We start from the raw sequence: 22,479 nt of genomic DNA, 5'->3' as shown, positions 1-22,479 counted from the left end.
CATTACGTGGGGATCTAGTTTATTTGATTTCACTTGTTTCTGAAATGGTGAACCAGCAGTTACTGCTCTTGGTAGAATAATTCCTCACCACATAACTGATTTGAAGTGCCACTCTTATCTTGTATTCAGTTCTTTATGCATCACCAGTCTGCTTCTGGATATTTCATTATGTGTCAGGAAGTTTTGCTGGCTGCTCCTTTGTTCTTTTGGGTGGGAAGGATTTAATCCCAATAGTTATGAATTCTGTTGCTAAAAAAAATGTCACCTGTTTAGAGAATACTTGAGTGTGGATTGAAAGGCTGGGAAGCATTTAACTTGGTAGTTATCAGTAGTGAACCACCAGTTTGTTATTTTTAGCTAAAAAGAAAAAACGTTTACAGCTTAGATTACTTTATTTTTCTAAAATTCACGGTGGAAGGACCTTAGTTATTATTAGTTGCAAACTTTCTAACCTACCATGTCTTTCCCTATTGAAATGAGGGTTCGTCTTTTTGTTAGCTTGAGGTTTCTTAGGAGTTCAGCCGCTGCATTATTGTGTAACAGGTTGTTCTTGGAGAATGTTTGCAAAGAAAGCCATTTAAGATACTTTTATCCCTTGAACTCTGCTAAGAGCCTTCCTTTCACTTAAATGCTTTTTAATTCCACTAACAAGCCTCTAAGAGGATATGATAAAGATGACAATAGAAGCTACTGCTTATTAAGGGCCAACCTTGTGCTTGATGTTTTTTATGCTTTTGTCCCGTTGCAAAACTGGGAAGCATTAATTAGATGCTACATACTCATTCTTTATCTCTGTTGACTATGATAACAGCTCTAGGAGAAAAGCCTACCTCTCTTTCTACTACATCATCTCTACAACCAAATAGGCCACTTTCTGCTTCCATGGTTTCTCTTGCCATGACCAATACTTCCTGATCAAGGTTAGCACCTACTGATCTGTTGATTGCTTACCACTTAATACAATGAATGCTGGCTACAGTAATGTGATGAGAGGTAAGATTTGAATTGCTACCTTGCAATGTAATGTAAAATCCAGATTTACTGTCCAGTTTGGTCAAACTACATGTTATGCTTGAGATAAGTCCTATCTTACTATGAATATCATAAAGCCAATACTGCATTTTAGCTTTTATAGCCAATTACTTCAAGTAGGAAAGCCTGTAATTGTTTTAATGTAACGTAAATGTAATCGATTTTTGGAAAGGATGGTTATAGGCCATAATTTATGAGCTTTAGAAGTAATTTTCATTTTTCTATGGCTTTATTTTTTGGGTGAATACTGCTAAAAATCAAACTACCATCGTATTTATTTTGGTAGTAGAGAATACTTTGTGCAGAGCTACAGACTATTGACAGTTAATTACAAATTGGAACCTATTTAAAGCTTAGAGATGGCATGTACAAATGAAAGTTAGGTAAAGTTGTATGCATGTTCCCCTGTTAACTCACCCTGAATTTATGGACTTTAAGATAATTGTATAAAGTGTTATCAAGCAAGCTGCAATACTATAATTATTTAGATTGTTTTACATATTTACAAACTCAGCTGGCCCAATGCTTTAATAAGTTATTTGCAGTTGAGGGAAAGTGTGAGAAAGAGATTGCCTCTCTCAGGGTTGTGTTAGTATTTTAGTGTACTATAGGTAGTTTTGGAAATAAAACATACTTTAAATGGGAAAAATTGCAGCCTGTTATGAATGGCACCGAACAGTGCTGATTATTTTACCTTTGACAAAGTGGAAAATTTAAAGCTTGGTGTATCCTATTTTATTAATATAATAAAATTTTATAGTGTTGTTCTGGGCGTCGATATATGTTCTTTAGTGTTTATTAGCCCTAGGTTATAGTAAAACGTTTTGGTCCGATGCCTGACCATACTGCACAGAATGCAAATGTGAGAACTAAGACAAAAAACACGTAAATACATATTTGTTTTTCCCTCAAGTCTTTTTCCATATGACTTCTAGATATTTTGGTTGCTTATATGAGTATGATTGAACCCAGAGAACATCTTTTTTTATCATTTAACATAGGTTTATGGCTTCCCCAGACTTGTACTAATAATGAAGCTATGAGGGATATGACAAGAATGGTGATATTAAATTTCTCTAGACTAACAGTAAATTTTTCCGTTCTGATGTCAGGAATGTTGAGCATCTGGAATCTGCAAGCAGAGTGAATTGTTCGCTGCGGGAACACTTTCATCAAATTCTGAGCCATTTATTCTCTTAGGAACCACTACTGTCTTGTACAGAATATTATATTTTTACAGAAGCAGTTTTCTGGAATTGGAAAAATGTCTTTCCTTCTTGTGCTTCTGTATTTTTTAAATTTTTTCCCATTTTAGATATGTCATTGTTTTGAAATTTAGTGTCACATTTTAGCATTGAATTTATGTTTTTAGGTTTAAAAGCAATAAGTTATATTTGTTCAAATTCTGTGAGAAAGCAATAGGAAATAAGTTGTTCTAAACGAAATTCTCTTTATAGTTTGTATAGGTGGATCTATGCTCCGTACTTTGTCATCATTTTCCTTGTATTTTCAGAATATCTATGATATATAGTTAGATCAATAGATCTAGATACTTGTGCCTTGATTGTGGCATAGATGTATTTCTTGAAAAAGTGCTGTGGAGGTGGAGGGAAGGAAAGTGTGAAATTCTCTAGTTTCTCTAGTTTTGTTTCAAACATTTCTGAAATGAGGAATTGAGATTCTAATCGGCCCTAGGTCGTGCTGGGTATTTAAAATAAGTATCTGTTGGTGTAAGTTACATGTTTGTTTTATTTTTTAAAAAAAATTCTGGTGTTTTTAAATTTTGTTTTGGACAACAGAAACTTCTATTTTATTTAGTAATTTTTTACTTTGAATTAGGCTTTCCTGAATCTTGATTTTCTTTTTTTGGTTCCTTGTGTTTGGAGACTGTGATCGCATGGCAGTAGGTATCATTGCCTAGAATATGGCCTGGATGGTTTGATTAGAAAGCCTCCTATTAGGTCTTATAGTGTCTTCGTGGCCTGTGACTAACATATGTTTGAAAGTCAGTTATTTACTTTAAGGGAGATATTTCTGCCTCCGTTTAACATTAGTTAGCCAATCTTTTACCTGTCTGTCTCACCTGTTGTTGCTGAGACTAAACATGGAGCTGATAAAGCTGCATTTCTTTCTTCCACACACGATTTTGCTGCTCAAGTGTGCAGGATCACAGCTTGCCAAGTGCATAAATGGTTTTAGTGTCATATTGATCCTTTAATCTGAAGATTAATTCCTCTACGACTAAATCCCTTTGCTCTGTATTCTAGTTCTCCCCCAACCACCTCTCTACCACCGCTGCCCTACCCCCGACTCCTTTCCAGCGTCCGATTTTATTTATCACACTGCCTCAGTTGAACCATAGCCAATTCTCCACCGGCCTCTTTTGGCCTCCTCCCTACTGATCTGAAGTTAGCTATCACTGCTACTTTCAACTGTTATCTACTCATCACTTTGATCAGGCTCCTCAGTAACTTTCAGTTGCATTACACATCGTTATTTTCATTTAGGCGTAAAGTCTCCATGAGGAGCTATGAATCATCAACCCAATATGTGTTAGTAAATCAGAGCTCACATACTTTGCCTAATTCTCTTTAGGCGTTCTGAACCACAAGCATTTGGGTAAGTTGGAGGTTTTATTTTTTGCCTTGCTTTGATTGCTTTTGATGTAGTCCAGCTGGTGTATGCTTGCTTTATAGTTTTCCTGATGAAAAGACGGTTCTCTATTGTTTGACAAACATGACAACCCTGGTAATTTTCCCTTTTACAAAGCATGAGGACTTTATTCTCATCTTTTTAGGAAGAAAATATGTTTCCTGGCTTCTTTTTTCTTACTACTTCCTTTTCCCTTCCCCTGCCTCATCTTAGTAATTCAGAAGATAATTTCTATAATAAAGGTGGGTTTTGTGAAATGGTTCCTAGCAAATGGTAAAGCCTTTTTTTGTGACTTTTTTTGTTAAAAGTTCTTCCCTGATGCAGTTTTTCTTTTCTTTTCTTTTCTTTTCTTTTTTTTTTTTTTTGAGACAGAGTCTCACTCTGTCACCCTGGCTGGAGTGCAGTGGTGCGATCTCGGCTCACTGCAACCTCTGCCTCCCGGGTTCAAGCGATTCTCGTGCCTCAGCCTCCTGAGTAGCTGGGATTACAGACACACCAGTACACCCAGCTAATATTTGTGTTTTTAGTAGAGATAGGGTTTCACCATGTTGCCCAGGCTGGTCTGAAGATCCTGGGCTCAAGCAATCCACCTGCCTTGGCCTCCCAAAGTTCTGGGATTACAGGCATGAGCCACTGGGCCCAGACTAATTCAGTTTTTCTGACTTCTGAGTATGTTATATCCTTGTCTAAAGGATAGCCTTGTTGAGTTGCAAATTCTGTCAGCTTTTTCCTATATAATTAATATAGCCTTTGAAATGGAAGATAAAAGTGTATTAAAAACTTTAAAGCACTGAAACTATAAACAGGAACCTGCAAGCATGAGTTCTCTACATTTTTTTTCTGAATATCTTAATTACATCCAGAAATTTTAGAAAAATTGCTGGGAGAATTAATGTTAAAAGGCTCAAAATCAAGACTTTGAGTATTAAAAATACTTCTAGATGAATTATATTGCTGACTCTTTTTGCCACCATCTCTGAATGTAACCAGGATTTTCCAAGTTTTCGTTCTGCCAAAAAAAAAAATGAGGATAACAATGCTTAATACTAACAACATTGACCCTATATCTAATGAACTGTTTTGTGCTGTCACTTCAAGAGTTAGGGACCCAGAGATCCAGACAGATCGAATAATTTGAATGCACATTTGTTGTCAGCAGGTCTGTTCTGAGTAATAATTGTTTCAATAAGCCCACATCTGTATGCCATAGCTGGTCATCTCCAGTGTGTGTGTTTATTATGTCTAACACTGGTAGTCTGGAGGAAAGTGCAAATTATTTCTAATTACCTCAATAAAGGGATTAATATTATTTTTCTGTATCACTTGAAACATTGTCTAAAATGACTCTGCAACTATTTCAGTGTGGTTAGTGTTAATGACAAATGATTGGTTCCCTGGAGTCTCAGTTTGGATTTTGATATAGAATGTGCACTGGTGTACAGTTTACATCAGCCAATATTGTCAGTATATTGTTAATAGATACATACTATTGATATCACCAAAATTATAGTTGTCTCTTGCAAATATATGTTGCATTATCTTTATATTGAAAGTTGTTTTTAAATTTTAATTTTTTGAGACAAGGTGTCACTGTGTCGCCCAGCCTGGAGTGCAGTGGCACCACCTTGACTCACTGCAGCCTCAAATCCTGGGCTCAGGCAATCCTCCTTTTTTTTTTTAGAAACGGGGTCTTGCTATGTTGCTCAGGCTGGTCCCATACTCCTGGATTTAAGCAATCCTCCTGCCTCAGCCTCCCAGTGTTGGGTGTTGGGTTTACTGGGTGTGAGTCACTGTGCCTGGCCAAAGGTCAATTGGGGGAGGGTGCGGCAGGTGTGATCACATTTTTAAGTTCTCATCTCTCAGTTCACTCTACCCAATACATGGGGTCTGTTGTTGCCTGTCTTTATTGCCTATTGTGAAAGCTTTCTTTTCCCCTTAATGCATCCAGCAGGATAAACTTACATTTTGTCATCTGCCTCCTTAATGCTTGGACATACTTAATAAGTTTTAGCATTTAATTTGGAATTATTTTTATTTAAAAGATGCTTACATAAGTTGTTCAGCAAAGCAAGGCATCATTGTAAGCTTTACAAATAACTCATTTAACCCTTATAACAATTCTGTAAGGTTAGCATGACTATACCTGTTTTACACAATAAACAATGGATACACAGAGATGTTTACCAATATGCCCAGTTGCAGAGCTGGGATTTGTAATTATGTCGCATGGCTCTAGAGTCTAAGCATGAGCCTAGAGTCTAAGCATGCTACCCCAGGGCCTTTGTAAGTGCGGTTCTCTTTCTGTTCCTCACTTCAGCACCTCCAAGTTAATGTCTGTGCTTCCTTCAGATCCCAGCATAATTGTCGCTTCCTCGAGAACGCTGTCCCTGAGTTGTTCACATCTCTCTCTCTTATACTTTTCCTGGTGCAACAACCTCCTCTTGTATAGGGCTTTTCAGAGTTGTCACTTTGCATTTATTTTCATGATTATCGATATCTGGCTGCTACCCTACACTGGGGAAAAAACTTGTGTTTGCTTTTATTTTTTTTTTCCTCCCTTCTTTGTAACCGCCCAATGGGTTCCCTTGCCCACTGCCTAGACAGAACTGATTTATCAAGACAGGGGAATTGCAATGGAGAAAGAGTAATTCACACAGAGCTGGCTGTTCAGGAGACCGGAGTTTTATTATTATTCAAATCAATCTCCTGAGCACTGGGGAGCAGAGTTTTTAAAGATAATTTAAAGAAATTTGGGTAGGGGCTTGGGAAGTGAGAAGTGCTGATTGTTCAGGCTGGAGATGGAATAATAGGGGGTTGAAGTGAGGTTTTCTTGCTGTTTTCTGTTCCTGGGTGAGATGGCAGAACTGGTTGAGCCAGATTACCTGTCTGGGTGGTGTCAGCTGATCCATCGAGTGCAGGGTCTACAAAATATCTCAAGCACTGATCTTAGATTTTTCAATAGTGATGTTACCCCCAGGAGCCACGTGGAGAGGTTCAGACTCTTGGAACCAGAGGCTGCATGACCCCTACACTGTACTTTCTAATCTTGTAGCTAATTTGTTAGTACTGCAAGGTGGACTGGTCCCCAGGCAAGAAGGGGGTCTTTCTGGGAAAGGGCTATTATCAGTTTTGCTTCAGAGTCAAACCATGAACTGAATCCCTTCCCAAAGTTAGTTCAGCCTATGCCCAAGAACAAACAAGGACAGCTTAAAGGTTAGAAACAAGATGGAGTCGGTTAGGTCTGATTTCTTTCACTGTCATACTTTCCTCAGTTATACTTTTGCAAAGGCGGTTTCATCGTCACGGCATCTCCAGCCCTTCATAGTGCCTGGCACATAGATAGTAAGCACTCGGTGTTTGTGGGGTAGGGATGAGAAAGGCTCAAGAGGAGTTTTGAAGTGTGGAGGGGACTTGGGAGCTTGCCAGCTTCCGAAACACGCCTCTTGAAATGTTGGCAAGTGTGTTAAGTTAAACCTGTTAATGAAACTTTGATGTAAGCATGTTACCATGCTTCTTTCATCTTTCAGGTAGTTTCAGGGATCCTGAAGAATGGGAACATGACAGCAGTAGCAGTCATCAGGAAATTAATTATCTGGTGAATTGGTGTAAAGTTTCCTGGATACAGTTGTAATTTCAGGGTACAGCAAATAACAATTCACTGTGGCTGGAAAAGAATTTGAGGAGAAGTTGTAAACTATACTGCTGAAAACAAGGTTTACAGCAGATTATTACATAAAAATGCAATTTGGAAATTTATAAAACTGCTGTTTATCTTGTAAAAGCTCAAGCAGTGTAGAAATATATATGGCAAAAATGAAAGTAATTGTCTCCTGTTCCTTTTGGTTTTTCTTCCAGATTAAACATTGATAACAGTTAGATATGGATCCTACTATAGAAGGCTCTCGGCCACCTAGAGCTGTAATGAATGAGTGAATAAAGGTGAATTTCAGATCAAAGAGAATGCAAGCTTTCAATTTTCATATTGCCAACAATGTATACCAATTTATGACTTCCCTGGATCCTTCATTCCCTCTGGGAAACCCAGAGGCTCTGACCAACCTTCTCTCTCTCTCTCTCTCTCTTTTTTTTTTTTTTTTTTTGAGACAGAGTCTCACTCTGTTGCCCAGGTTGGAGTGCAATGGCATGATCTGGGCTCACTGCAGCCTCCACCTCCCAGGTTCAAGCAATTCTCCTGCCTCAGCCTCCTGAGTAGCTGGGGTTACAGGCATGTGCCACCACACCTGGCTAATTTTTTTTGTATTTTTACAACAGGGTTTCACCATGTTGGCCAGGCTGGTCTTGAACTCCTGACCTCTTGATCTGCCCGCCTTGGCCTCACAAAGTGCTGGGATTGCAGGCATGAGCCACCACAGCCAGCCCAACCTTCTCTTTTAAATGCAAACATTTTCTTCCATGTCCTCACTCTCAGCATGAAACCCTGTTTCCTAGTTTACTGAAAATAGCGAAACAATCTTCAGGGAATTATCACATGTTCCCTCAACCACATTTGCCCCACGTGGGGCATCTGCTGCCTGCCTTCCTCTGTGGGACCATAGAGGAGCTGCCCTCTTGGATTTAATCCACCTGCGCGCTTGACCCTGTTCCTTCACAACTACTGAATGACAGCTCCAGCTAAAACTTCTTTACCCCACTTCCCGTACAAGGATCAATTCTCTGTTGAACCAAGTCTTCAGAAGGCTATGGTGGGAGGATTGCTTGAGTTTAGGCGTTTGAGACCAGCCTGGGGCAACATCGAGACCCTGTCACTACAAAAAAAATTAAAAATTAGTCACATCTAGGGGAGCATGCCTATATTCTCAGCTACTCGGGAGGCTGAGGCAGGAGGATTACCTGAGCCTAGGAGGTCAAGGCTGCACTGAGCTCTGATCATGGCACTGCACTACAGCCTGAGTGGCAGAGCAAGACCCTATCTCTAGGAAAAAATCAAACCCAGCTCCTTCTAAGAGTTGTCTGTATTTGCTCTCTCCTCTGTCTTCCCATTTTTTAGTGCTCCTCATTCAGTCTTCTACATTGTCACTCTGCCAAAGGTAGTCAGTACCCTGCGCATTGCTAAATCCAACGCTTAGTTCTCAGTCCTCATTGTACTTGCTTATCAGTGGCGTTTACACAGTGGATGGTTCATTCTTCCTTGACACTCTCTTTCTAGGACGTGAGATTACAGCACTCGGAGTGGTTGCTGGTCCCTCCTCTCTTCTGCATCGCCTAACTTTGGAGACTTCAGGGCGCAGTCCCCTGCCTCCTCTTCTCTTCTGTGTCTACACTCATGCTCCTGGGGATCTCATTTTACCTCATGGCTTTAAGTACAAATCATGTGCCAGTGATTCCCAGGGATTAAGTTTTCAGTCCAGAGCAGTCTGGTGACCTGCTGACCCCATATTCAACTGCCCACTGCATCTCCACTGGTATCCAATCGACATTCCAAATTCAGTATGTCTAAGGCTGAACTTCCCCATTATAGGTGATGGCAACTTCAAAAACTGTTGGAGTTATGTTTGATTTTTTTTCCCCCATGTCCCTCATTCAGTCAGACAGAAATTCATATTAAGTTCTTCCTTGAAAATCCACCTGAACTTGTGTAGTTCTCACAACTTCCCCTGGCTACTGCATGGGCCCAAGCCACCCTCACCTTCTGCCCTGGATTGCTGTGTTTGATCTTCCCATATAGTTGTCTGCCTCGGCCCTCGGCTTCCTGCGATCTGTTCTCAATTCAGCAGCCAGAGTGATGCATTCATTCACTCATTTATTTTTTTTTTTTTACGAGACAGGGTCTCATTCTGTTGCCCAGGCCAGAGAGCAGTGGTGCAATCATGGCTCACTACAGCCTAGATCTCCTGGGCTCACATGATCCTCCTGCCTCAGCCTCCCATAGTGCTGGGATTATAGGCGAGCCACTGCGCCTGGCTGAGTGATGCTTTTGTAATGTAAGTTAGATCTAATCACCCCTTTACACAAAACTCTGCAGTGGCTCTTTCACTCTAAAGTAAAAGTGAAGCTCCTTCTCGTGTTTGCCCTTTCAGGCCCTGTGTGATCTGGGCTCCCATATCCTTCCTTATATCCCCTCTTCTTCTTGCTCCCTCTGCTCCTGTCATATGGGACTCCTTGCCCGTCATCTTCCTCAGTTAAAAGTATTCTGATGTACTCTGGTGGTTTATATACTCTTAAAAGATAATGCAATCTTATTAATTCGAAATGATGACAGCTTGTAATTATCTTCTGATTAATGAATTATAACTTTGGGTGAATTGTTTACTCAATGTGAATACATTTCCTTATGAGATAGGTCAGGTTGTCTATCTTCCCCAATCCTTGGTCAACTCACCTGCCTGTTAGTTATATATATCTTATATAAAGATAATATTCTGATAGAAAACATGACTTTAGTTTTACAGTAATTCTCTCTCTCTCTCTATATATATATATATATATGGCAAAAAATATACTGCAAGACAACTTGAAGTTGCTCAAAGCATCAGAGTATCTAAAAGTGTGTGTAAAATACATACCATCTCAGTGTGTTGCCCAGGGCTACTAAAGCCCCAAGAACATACCCTGATTGTAAGTCGTTAGAGGGGAAAAGCACATATACCTTTATCTGTAAGGACAATGATACCAGGTGCAGTGGTGTACTCCTGTAGTCCCAGCTACTAGGGAGGCTGAGGTGAGACGGTCCTTTGAGCCCAGGGGTTCAAGGTTGCAGTGAGCTGTGACCGTGCCACTGCACTCTAGCCTGGGTGACAGAGTGAGACCTCATCTAAAAAAAAAAGAAAAGACAGTGAGACAGTGACATATGTTTCTCCTGCAGTGTAGCATGGGTTCAGGAAGATGATCACGGCATATTATTTAAGTCCAATTAAATAACTCAGTGATCTCAAAGCATATAGTTTTTATCTTTAACAAAAAGTAAGTGGCACATGTACTTATCGTCTAGTATAGTGTGGATAGAGGGAAGCCCGCTACAGCACATTTAAATCCCATCAAATAAATAAGTCAGTGTAGTTAAATTAAGATTATGGTCTTACATATGAGATGGCTTAATGAACCGGCTCACAGAGTGAGGTATTTATATTGTACTGAAAGCATTCTCATTAGTATATTACTTTTTATAATTTCATACAGCCAGAATTTGCCATATAAAATTCCTCTGGAAAGGGAGAATAGGTTACAACATTTATTTTCCACAGAGCAGGCTTTGGTAACCTGTTTAAAAATCTCAAAACATCTTTATGTGTCTTTGCAATTAGTTCCTTTAATTTTAAGCGCCTTTCTTAGCCCCTAAAATTTTTGCCCACTATGTACTTTCTATCATTTTTCCATGTTTAGGGGTTTTATGTTATTTTAATGTTAGAAAACCACAATCTATCTTGACCTTCTCTTATAAGTTTCATACATTTATGAGAAAGTTGAAATTAAGAGAGTGCTCTTTTGATAGAAAAGAGCTGTGTTTGGGTTCTCCAAATAAACAAAACCAATAGGAGATATTATAATATACATCCCCACACACATACGTACACACATGGAGACAGGTATATATTAGGTTGGTGCAAAAGTAATTGCAGTTTTTGGCATTGTAGTAAAAACTGTGATTACTTTTGTACCAACTGACTTATATAGGTGTGTGTGTTTATAGGAGATTTATTATGGGAATTCACTCACGTGATTATGGAGGTCGAGAAGTCCAGTGATCTGCCATCTGCAACGTGGAGAACCAGGAAAGCTGGTGGCATAACTCAGTCTGAGTCTGAAGGCCTGAGAGCCAAGATTATGGGGTGGAAGGGAAAGGGCTGCAGTATAAGTAAGTATCAAAGCACAAAGGCCCAAGAACCAGGAAGCCTGATACCTGAGGGCAGGAGAAGATGGGTGTCCCAGCTCAATAAGAGTGAGGGGGAATTTGCCCTTCCTCTGCCTTTTGGATCTATTTGGACTCTCAGTGAGATTGGCTGATGCTGCCCATGTTGGTGAGAGCAGATCTTCTTTCTTGAGTCTACCAATTCAAAGGATAATCTCTTTCGGAAACATCCGTGCAGACATACCCAGAAATAATGTCTTACCACCTATCTGGACATCTCTTAGCTCAGTCAAATTAACACATAAAATTAACCATCTCAAGACTGTTTATTTGTCATTTGTTGAACTTAGAACTTTGGCCTAGTGCTCCACCTGAGCTGTTGGGGTCAGGCTTAGCATATTGTTAAGACAGGCAAACATTGTCAATACAAGCCTTTGATGTAATAGTATTTCCCTTTCAAATCTGTATTAGAAAAACCTTTACTTTCACTAATCACTAAATATTTTTCATTGTATCTCCAATGCCAAACAACAGAAAGAACATCGAAAACAAAGCAGAAAGACAATATTCCTCTCCCCCAGAAAGAGACACACACATAGTTTTTTTTTTTTTTTTGGAGATAGGATTTCATTCTGTCACTCAGGCTGGAGTGCAGTGGTGCAATCATAGCTCACTGCAGCCTTGAACTCCTGGGCTCAAAGGATCCTCCCTCCTCAGCCTCCCAAGTAGCTGGTGCTATAGAGGTGCACACCACTATGCTCAGCTAACATAAAATTTTTTTTTGGTAGTGATGGTTCTTTCTAAGTTGCCCAGGCTTGTCCCAGGCTCCTGGCCTCAAGCGATATTCCTGCCTCGGCCTCTGTGTTGGGTCGTTCTTTGCATTGCCCTAGAGGAATACTTGCGACTGGGCAATTTATAAAGAAAAGAAGTATAATTGGCTCACGGCTCTGCAGGCTGTACAGGAGCATGGAGCTGGCATCTGCTTCTGAGGAGGCCTCAGGAAGCTTACAATAGTGGTGGAAGGTGAATGGGGAGCAGGTGTATCAGATGGTGAAAGTAGGGGCAAAGGAAGTGAGTGGGGGGAGGTGCCACACTTAAACAAACAGGTCTCACTACAACTCACTCACTGTCTTGAGGACAGCTTCAAGCCATGAGGGATCCACCCCCATGATCCAGTCACCTTCCACCAGGTCCCAATTTGGGATTACAATTCAACATGAGACTTAGAGGGGACACATACCTAAACTATATCAGCCTCATATGTACATACATAAATCTCCATATAGAAGATTGAGCCAGTTATCATTTTATTGCCTCTTAGCTCCAAATTCATACTTCATTGTCTGCACTATGAAGATAGAGCTAGGCCCTTTAAGTATTTCTCTTTTGCTGCTGGCCTGACGTTAAGTTTTGTCAGATGAGGGCACTGGATGGGACAATGCAAGAGGAGGCGGAGGCATCTCTTCCTTATTCTTGTGTTTTCTTATTTGCTTTTTCTTTCTCCTTTCATAGGATTTCTAACAGCACTTGTGGGAGTATCCAGTGGTAGTTATCCTCTTTGAGTTTTAGTGACACGCCCATGGGCAGACTCCCAGTGAGTCTTGTGGGCATCCCAGAGGTCAACTTCCTAGCCTCACCCTGCCTATGTACTGGAGGGGGTGTTTGCTTGACAGTTCCTGTCACTGTTATATACACCCCCAGGATATTTCTGGCTTTTTAGTCCTGCTATGCCAGGACTAAAAATGGTTTCCTGCCTGCCAGCCTCAAACCATCTGTATACTGGAGAAGTGTTTCCTGCTTGCTAGTCCCAGGCACAGTTTCTTGTCCACTTGCATCCTGGAGGTGGGTGTTTCTTGCCTGCTCAATGATAATGGAGAATCTTTGGCCCAAGGAACCCAACCATCTTGTGAGCTGCAAACACACGTTCTCCTGTGAGCTCTGAGTCTTAGCCTTGGGGAGGGAGTCCTCTTCCAAGGTTGTTTTCTCCTTGGATAACAGGAAAAAATCTCCTTCAGTCCTAGGTATTCTTTAGAGTTCTCTCTGACTTTACAGATAAGCCCCTGTTATAGGTAATAATTATTTATATTAAGCTTCTCTGTTCAAATTACTGCAGAGCTCCTGTCTCCAGGTTGGACCATGACTGATGCAAACATAAAAGGCAGAAATTAGGGTTTGATAAATCACTAGTGTTTTCTTCAGTTTTACGGAAATTTAGTGCACTTAAAAATCTATAGATTTATGTGATTATAACTGCCTTTCCACCTTGGGTGTTCTCCAACCTAGAATGTACCCTTGCAGGTTCTGTTTTCCTTTTTCAGATCCTAGCTCAAGTCCTGCAAGTTCCAGTATAGCCTTTTCTTTTTCTTTCTTTTTTCATTTTTTTTTTTCTTTTTGAGATGGGGTCTCACTCTGATGCCCAGGCTGGAGTAAAGTGATGTGATTATAGTCACCACACCACTGCAGCCTTTACCTCCTGGGCTCAAGTGATTCTCCTGCCTCAGCCTCCTGAGTATCTGGGACTACAGGTGTGCACCACCATGCCCGGGTAATTTCTTAAATTTTTTATATAGACAGGGTCTCACTGTGTTGCCCAGGTTGGTCTGTAACTCAAGCAATCCTTCTGCCTTGGCCTCCCAAAGTGCTGAGAGGAGTGAGCCACTGTGCCCAGCCCCCAATATAACCTTTTCTGACCTTCAATGATTGGTCTCATCTTTAAATTATTACAGTTCTTGTACGTATCAATCAACTGACCCTTGACATATTTTAGTTTTGCTGTGGTGCTTTCTTTTTTTTTCAGTTATAAAATATGCAAATTAAAAAATATTGCTTTTTATATACTGGAGAATTTTATGAAATAATTTTATTGAAATGCTTCACCTGCATCTTTGACAGTGTCTATTCCATGTACCCAAATATAAGGTGAGATTTTTTTTCCTCCTTAAAATTCTTTCTCAGAGAAGAGAGAGCTGCTTTATATTGAAGTTCTTACAAAATCTCTTATAGGTAACTTTCTGTTATTTCACTTACTCAAAAATTTGTTGAATGGAGAAGGCACATTGTTCTCATATAACCTAAATTCAAAATTTTTGGGTATGGTTTTAGAGGCCACCTGACAGAATTGTTTTTTAAAAAAGGACACTATTCATCAAGACAATGGGAGAAAAAAAACGTTGCAAAGAAGTTTAAGCCAGATTTAATTATTATTCCTTAGGGAAAGGTTGTGACCTCACATTTGCCAACGTTAAAGATACTTAAAGAGTAGCTTAGTGGTTCTGTTGTAGAGATAAAAACTATACAGTTACAGGACAAATGAAAAACCGATCAGTTTTATGTAGATTTCCCATGACAGCATCTCACGAATAATCAAAAATATGCTCCATCTCAAACAGCTTATAGCTTATCTAGAAATGAAAATGATGTATTTTAACTCTGAAATTTAAATTATTTACAAAGTTATTGTAAATAATTTAAATAAAACAATTTCATGAAATATGCAAGTGGGGCCCAAACCTAATATCTAAATTAATATATTTTACCTCATAGGTAATTTAAGGTATGTGTTCCTAACTAAACTGCAATGTAAATTTTAGAAGCAGGCATGAGCATTTTATCAACATCTGTAAAAGTCAATTAGATATTTGAATTATTAGACATAAACAGATGTTAATAATTAATTAGGTATGTATTTCATTGTCACATTAAATGTTCATGTATTTATTTGAAAGAAAATGTGTTTTGGATCTTTTCTTGGGCAAATAAGAGAGCCTTATATTTAGGATTGCTTTATGTTGGGGCATATTCTGTGTCATCTAAGATGATAAGACCTCTGGGGGCAGAGATAGTCATATATTCTATAAGTTGTATCTCCAGTGACAAGCATAGTACCCTGAATATGAGAACTCAGTAAATGTTGATTCTTAGGAACTTTGCCTTTAAAGAGGGTCTTAGTCAGTTTTGTACTGCTATAACAGAATACCACAGACTAGGCAATTTGTAATGAACAGAATTTTATTGGCTCACAGTTCTGGAGGCTGGGAAGTCCAAGATCGAGGAACCAGAATCTGATGAGGGCCTTCTTGCTGTGTCATCCATGGCAGAAAGGCAAAGAGAGGGAGAAGAAGACTGACTCACCTTCATATAATGAACCCATTCCCAAGATAATGAGCCCACTCCTACAATAATGGCATTAATCTATCCATAACCTCTCACTGGCCTCCACCTCCCAACGCTCTTGCATTGGGGTTTAAGTTTCTGATACATGCTTTTTAGGGGACACATTCAAACCACAGCAAAGACCTAACTCAAGTGTTTACTTCTTTTCTGAAGACTTTCCTGATGTCTTCTTCGTCCTTTGCAGGAATTGACCACTTCCCTTGCCATTGCCGCAGCACTCTAACCTTGTCCTGGACTTACGAATAGACCTGTCTGTGCTTGTCTGCTGCACTGCCAACTCCTGAGGACAGGAGCTGTGACTGATTTTTCTTAGATCTTTAGAGCCTTGAGGAGTGTTTCATTCATAGCTACCATAACTGTTTACTGGAATCAATGAGTTTGAATGACTACAGAGTATAGGGTATCTCATTGTCTCAGTTCTTGCCCAAAGACCAAGTAGATTTAGGTAAATTCTTAAAAAATATCTGCTGCTATCTAAACTCTCATCATTTGCCCTTGAATCTCCATGACCCAAACCATTTGGATTTCACAAAACTCTTCACCATTAGAACTTTAGGAACTGAGTATAGGAGTATTTTAAAAAACATGTTAAAACACAGGCCCCATTTTATGCATGGCCAGAGATGGTTTCTAGGGCCCTTATAATTCATTTGAGTGGAAGTAGTTGTCTATATTATTTACCTTCATGGAGACTGCACACGGCTCTGGCCTGGTGGCTCCTTTAATCATGTCTTTAATTTCTGGTTGGCACTGTGCTGTCTTTTCTTGCTGTGGTCATGGTTACCAGATGTGGTAGTTGAAGGGAAGGTACGGCTCTTGTTACTAGAGTGCCAAACTGTGGTGGGATATTAGTTAGGATTACATAAAACTAGTAAAAACCAGAGAACTCTGGTTTATGAGCTTCTGCTAACAGAAAAATTATTTTTTATAAAAACTTAAATATAATATGGCTTATTCCCACAAAATGTAAGCAGTACTTGGGTAAAGTTAACACTTTCCATATGTAAAAGACTAGCGTGGTTTTATTTCTGAGTATGGTATTGTATCCAATTGCAATATACAGCTAAGCTATTGTTTGACTTTGAACCATTGAATTGAAATGACATTTTCATTCTAGAAGAAGACATGTTAAGCAACGGACTGCCTACGCTGTGCCAGCCACAGGGCTAAATGCTGCCATATGAATTGCTCTATAGAATTCTTACAACAACCGTGTTTGCCATAATTTTTTTTATGTTAGCATTTTATTTTGAGATAATTGTAGATTGATGTTATGATCTCATGTACCCCTCAGCTACTTTCTTCCGATGGTAGCATCTTGCATAATTATAATAGAGTCTTGCAATTAGGAAATTGCCATTGGTACAATCCTTTGACCTTTTCAGATTTCACATTTTATATGCACTTATTTGTGTGTGTCTCCGTGTGTTTGCGTATTTAGTGCTATGCATTTTTTTTTTTTTTTTTTTGAGACGGAGTTTCACTCTGTTGCCCAAGCTGGAGTGCAATGGTGTGGTCTTGGCTAACTCCAACCTCCACCTCCGGGGTTCAAGTGATTCTCCTGCCTCAGCCTCCCGAGTAGCTGAAATTACAGGTGTGTGCCACCACACTGGGCTAATTTTTGTATTTTTAGTAGAGATGGGGTTTCACCATGTTGGCCAGGCTGATCTTGAACTTCTGACCTTAAGTGATCTGCCCACCTCGGCCTCCCAAAGTGCTGGGATTATGGGCGTGAGCCATTATGCCTGGCCGTGCTATGCGATTTTACCACACCTGTAGGTTACCATTTGTTTTTAAACACATGAGGGAAATAAGGCTCAGTTAAGTTACGTGAAATGCTCTAAGTGTAGACTTTGAGTTTGAATCTAGCTGTGTTTGATCCACACTTTTGCTTTTTCTGTAACGATATGATTAATAACAGTAATAATTATGACAATAGCTGAAACTTACTGAGTTTCATGTGAAATGTATTGAGTACTTTTTATGTGACAGGGACTGTTCTAAGGTATTGAGTCATTTAATCCTCCTGACAACTTTTATCATGTAAATTATGTCACAGTTGAATTAGTCTCCTTAATTAAACTGTAAGTCATGTTACCAAGGAATAGGTAATTATTTTTACAACTCCCCAAATCAATAATAAAATAATGAAATTTCACCCTTTCTTTACATAATTTCACATTTTGACTTCCGACCTTAACCACTGATCTTGGCCATTGTTGATTACTTTCATATATATAATGAAACCTGTATTATTATAGATTGAGTTAGGCTGAGATACCTTACAAATAATTTTACTAAACTGTAAATAAGAGCTGGTGTAGGCAGAATGCCAGGATTTTAAGGGAATAGATGTAAAATACCAAGAATACTTCAGAATGTAATTGAGAGAAGGTTTTTTTTTTTTTTTTTTTTAAAGACTGTTTTAGCTTTTTTTGGCCAAATAAGGCCCCAGAAATGTTTCAATTTAATCAGATCTCCCAAGTTATGTATCTTAATTTTCAATATGGTACCTAATGCCTTTGGTTGTAAGTTATCACTGATAAGCAGAATTAGTATGCTTCAGGAAGATAATAGATATACGAATCATCAGCCCATAATTTACTATTCTTTGCTAGTTAAATCTCTTGTAAAGCTGTCCCTGTGATGAACAGCAGCACTTATTCAGACCAAAAATAACAACAGTCCCATGTGTTGTAGGTCCCAGGAGGTCTTGGTGTTTTTGTAGACAGCAGACAAGAAATAAAAGGAATTTTGTCCTTTTTACCTCATGTAATCCCACTGGAAAATGAAACATGTGCTATGAGTTGATATTGACTCCTGCCAGGTCACCTCCCTAAAGAGTCTCGGGCAGGCACTGTTGCAACATTTCTTGGACAGGAGTGTGACGGGCTGTGATGGAGATGGATGGTTTATGTAGTACGCTACCGTGGAACACTGCACTACTGTCTGCCCCTAGGAAGTGGCTAGTGAGGACGCCACGAGTAACCCGCATCTGTTACTTTAACTCTTTCAGAGGGTATTACATAAGCTTTACATCCCCCAATTTTAAACTAAGTTCTACGTAGCTTTTTTTTTTTTGATAGTTGACTATAGTAATGTAGAACCATTTATGATTTCTTTTCCCGTACTTTGTAGGACTTTCTTTTGGATGTTAGATAATGCAAGTATTTTTGAAACTATATGTTATTAGGAACTATTTGGACACTACAAAACCCTTTTAATGGGCCACCCTATCAATTCTCTGTTCTTCTAAGGAAGTTTTTCCTATTCATAACTCATTTCACTCTTTGGCTCAGATTGAGGGAAATGTAATAATGATTAAGGAAAGGAATGTATGCGTTTTCTTCTTTTTCTGAAAACCTGTACACATTTTCTGTCTCGGATTATGTAAACTTGGAGGGCTGTAGAATGTTGACAACTGTGAGAGGTAAAAATGAGTCTGTTAATACATACCACTGCTTTGGAATTTAAAAGCCAGAAAATTCCCCTTTGGTTCTTTGGAGAAGTGTTTAGCTTGATGGCCCGGAATACAAATCCAGTAAAATTGGCATGTTCCAGCTGTCATTTACACACACCTTAGGCGAAATTAATGAGATCACTCTAAGATTACACTTTGTGTTTTATTTTCATTTTATAGGTCTGTATGAGCTGTTGGCTGCTCTGCCAGCCCAGCTGCAGCCACATGTGGATAGCCAGGAAGACCTGACCTTCCTCTGGGATATGTTTGGTGAAAAAAGCCTGCATTCATTGGTAAAGGTAAACCATGCTGATGTCAGATTCTCTTTGCGAAAAGCATATGGAAAAATATTTGGGGCACCACCAAGTAAACCAGAGATCAAATTGTTGCTCTCTGAAAACAAAACAGCCTTGTTCCATTCACCGACGGGCGTGGAAGTTGTTAAAGATTCTACCAAAAATACATAGATGATTTCACTTAATGGTGGTGAGCTGGCTCTGTATACTAATGTAGCAACCATGTGGTCACCCCCTTGTTTAGAGAAAGAATATGAAATAGTAGCAGGAAGGTTTAGACTCTTTTACGGTCAACATTCATGAGCTGGAATTTAACTTAAATAAATGTTCACAGCAAAAATTAGAAGGAATCTATTTTCTGAGGTCAAGGATGGCAGCAGTTCAGTAGCCACATTAATTTAAAATAATTTCCTTTAACAAAGTCAACTGAAATTCTAGTAAGCTGTTCCTTTTATTGGCAGAACTCCATTGAAGTGGTATTTTGTATATAAATACACTGAAGCCGAATGTGAGTAAAAACAGTTTTTGGAGACAGTTTTAGTAAAGCATCATGCCATGAAAATGATCAGCCAGCAGAAATCGGGTCTGGCCATACAGCAACATTGGGAGTGATCAGAACTCCTAAAATAGTAAAATGAGAACAAGAAGCTTACTGGAAAATATGCCACTTGTGCTTCTGGAAATATGAATTGCATTTTCTCTCATCTAACTCAAGCTGAAAGAAATTTAGAGTCTTTCTGGAGTTTATGAGGAGGTAGAAACCAGTGCCTCAATGATAACTGGACCTATATTTTTAAATTCAGCTAACTTTGTTATGGCTGCCTGTCATGATAAGAGGCTTTTAATTGATATAGAGTATTAGAAAATGAGCAATTTCTGAGTTGCAATTGCTTTTCAGAACAGAATTCCTATATTTCTTTTGTCAAATTTACTGAAATTTGTGTACTTGCAGCAGTGACAATTCTTAAGAAATGGAAGTGTTGATATGTGGCATTTCCCTAGCAGTACATTTAAAGACCATGTTTATTTGTTCATTTCTTTATTTTTTCATAACAGTGTAATTTCCAAGGCATCCTTGTGCTCTAAATAATAGTTGCCCTCTGGGGATTTATTAGGCATGGTCTTGGGATTATAACTGATGACGTTTATGACTTGGTAATACAATCATAAAAATATTTTTAAGTTGACTGTGTGGAAGTTGGATAGCTATGGGTTTATTTAGATTGAGTTGACCTTTTGATAGCAGGAATAAAATATATTTGAGGTGTCATCATCATCCTTTAATCATTAAATAAGCATGCCTCCAAACAATGGATGCATATTCATTTGTATGTATTTACAAATAGCTACTATCTCAGTTTCCTTACCTATAAAATTAAAGTTATAATATCTGTTTACAGGGTTGTTTGTGAGTTTCAAATAAAATAGCGAAGATCTGAGTTTTTTGGTAGTTATATAATGGGGTTAGACAAATTTAAGTAGGCATTATTAAGTATTGAGGAAAAAGTTAATTATCGTAGCACGCTAAAGACCAAAAAGGAACTACAGAGATGGTTGTTATTTCTATTAAAAGAATGAAACTAATGCATAAAACAAATTCTTAGTTACACTGGCTTGAGTTTTAAGCTGAGGCTGTTTTTCAAAGTATATGTCAATACTAAGTGGTTAGAAAGCATAGCGGAGGGTATTGATATCTGATTTCATAAAAACAGTGGAGCGAATAAACTCATGTTGCTAGTATTTAGATAGCACAATAACACATGTACTATTCTAAATGTTTTCCAGTAATTGCTGTAAAATGTATTTTCAAAATTAGTTTTATTACGTACCTCTAGTACATTCTCAATGTCTTAATAGTTCCTCCCACCCCCAACTTTTATCAGACACAGACCTCAAGTGTGTCCTTTGACTGACCCATTCTATTCGTTTTCAAGTATGTAAAGTCTGCAATACTTTCAGGAGGCAGGTTCCTGGGACTGGAGCTTTAAACAGCTGGAACAAACCGCTTAACTGTATTCCAAGCGTGTCTATTTAAGCTTGGAGGATAGAAGCCTTCAGCTTTTGTACGTAAATCTTGGTAGAGCTGAAGGAATTTGTATGAAAAGATTTGTGGTAGAGTGAATCAAAATCGCTTTGGTTTTATGCTCTTCTGCCTGCAGTCGAAGCTGTTAGAATGTGGTTTAGAACTGAGTGAACACAAAACTTGATTTTATTCTAGTACAGAATTTTCATAGTTGTTATCGTGTGATCGTGTGTGTGTGTGTGTGTGTGTGTGTTTAAATGGGCTGAGTGCAGTGGTTCACACCTGTAATCCGAGGCCAGGAGTTCAAGACCAGTCTGGGCAGCACAGCAAGACCCTCTCTCTCAAAAAAAAATTAAAAATTAGCCAGGCATAGTAGTGTATGCCTGCAGTCCTAGCCACTCAAGAGTCTGATGTGGGAGGATTGCATGAGCCCGGGAGGTCAAGGCTGCAGTGAGCTGAGATCACACTACTATGCTCCAGTCTGGATGACAGAGACTCTGTCTCTTAAAAAAAAAGTTTGGGGGCAGGTTGTAAATCACAACACAATTTTAAATACATAGACCTCTTTGGACTAGGAAAAAATATACTTATAAAGAGGAAGTTTGAGTAATACAGTCTCTGTGACAGATTCAGCCACCTTGGGGTATCTGGCTACAGTGCAAGTATATGTAGGCTGGGAGCTTGTCACTAAAAAGGAAATATGGTGATCCTCTAGGGTGTTAGCTGAGGATGCTTTTTAAAAGAAAAACGCCTAAATAGAAACGAAGAATAATAAAAACGGTGAGCATGAGACTTTAGAAGTATCAGAGGGAAGATGATACTGAGAGAATGCCTGAGAAGTCTCATATTGATATGGTTTAGCTGTGTCCCCATCCAAATCTCATCTTGAATTGTAGCTCCCTTAATTCATATGTGTTGTGGGAAGGACCCCGCGGGAGATAATCGAATCGTGGGGGGTGGTTTCCCTCATACTCTTCTCATGGTAGTGAATAAGTCTCATAAGAGCTGATGGTTTTTTAAAGGGAAACCCCTTATG

General features: G+C 39.0%; 1 protein-coding gene across 17 annotated transcripts in view, besides 1 other annotated feature; it reads left to right on the top strand.

Annotated features, from left to right (window-relative positions):
• Positions 1 to 22,479, top strand: part of MPP7 (MAGUK p55 scaffold protein 7) — a 284,211-nt gene that overhangs the window by 113,628 nt on the left and 148,104 nt on the right. For 9 of the 17 annotated variants that reach the window (NR_134517.2, XM_047424647.1, NM_001318170.2 and 6 more), the window contains one exon: positions 19,305 to 19,423. The exons of 6 other annotated variants lie outside the window; for them this stretch is intronic. Coding sequence is in view for 10 of the 11 variants with exons in the window: in XM_047424647.1 (XP_047280603.1) it covers positions 19,305 to 19,423 (119 nt within the window). In the remaining variant the exon portion in view is untranslated. The remainder of the gene's footprint in view (positions 1 to 19,304; positions 19,424 to 22,479) is intronic. 2 more of the 17 variants (XM_047424648.1, XM_047424651.1) reach the window with 1 other exon arrangement.
• Positions 9,304 to 9,898: an enhancer, noted in NCBI's record as "OCT4-NANOG hESC enhancer chr10:28500607-28501201 (GRCh37/hg19 assembly coordinates)". NCBI's record gives its function as "activates a minimal SCP1, AML or CMV promoter by ChIP-STARR-seq in primed H9 embryonic stem cells {active_cell/tissue: H9 hESC(primed)}" and the evidence as "EXISTENCE:reporter gene assay evidence [ECO:0000049][PMID:30033119]".

This window comes from Homo sapiens, chromosome 10 (assembly GCF_000001405.40).
Source record: "Homo sapiens chromosome 10, GRCh38.p14 Primary Assembly".
Lineage (NCBI taxonomy): Eukaryota > Metazoa > Chordata > Mammalia > Primates > Hominidae > Homo > Homo sapiens.
This window is presented reverse-complemented; position numbering and strand designations above follow the sequence as displayed.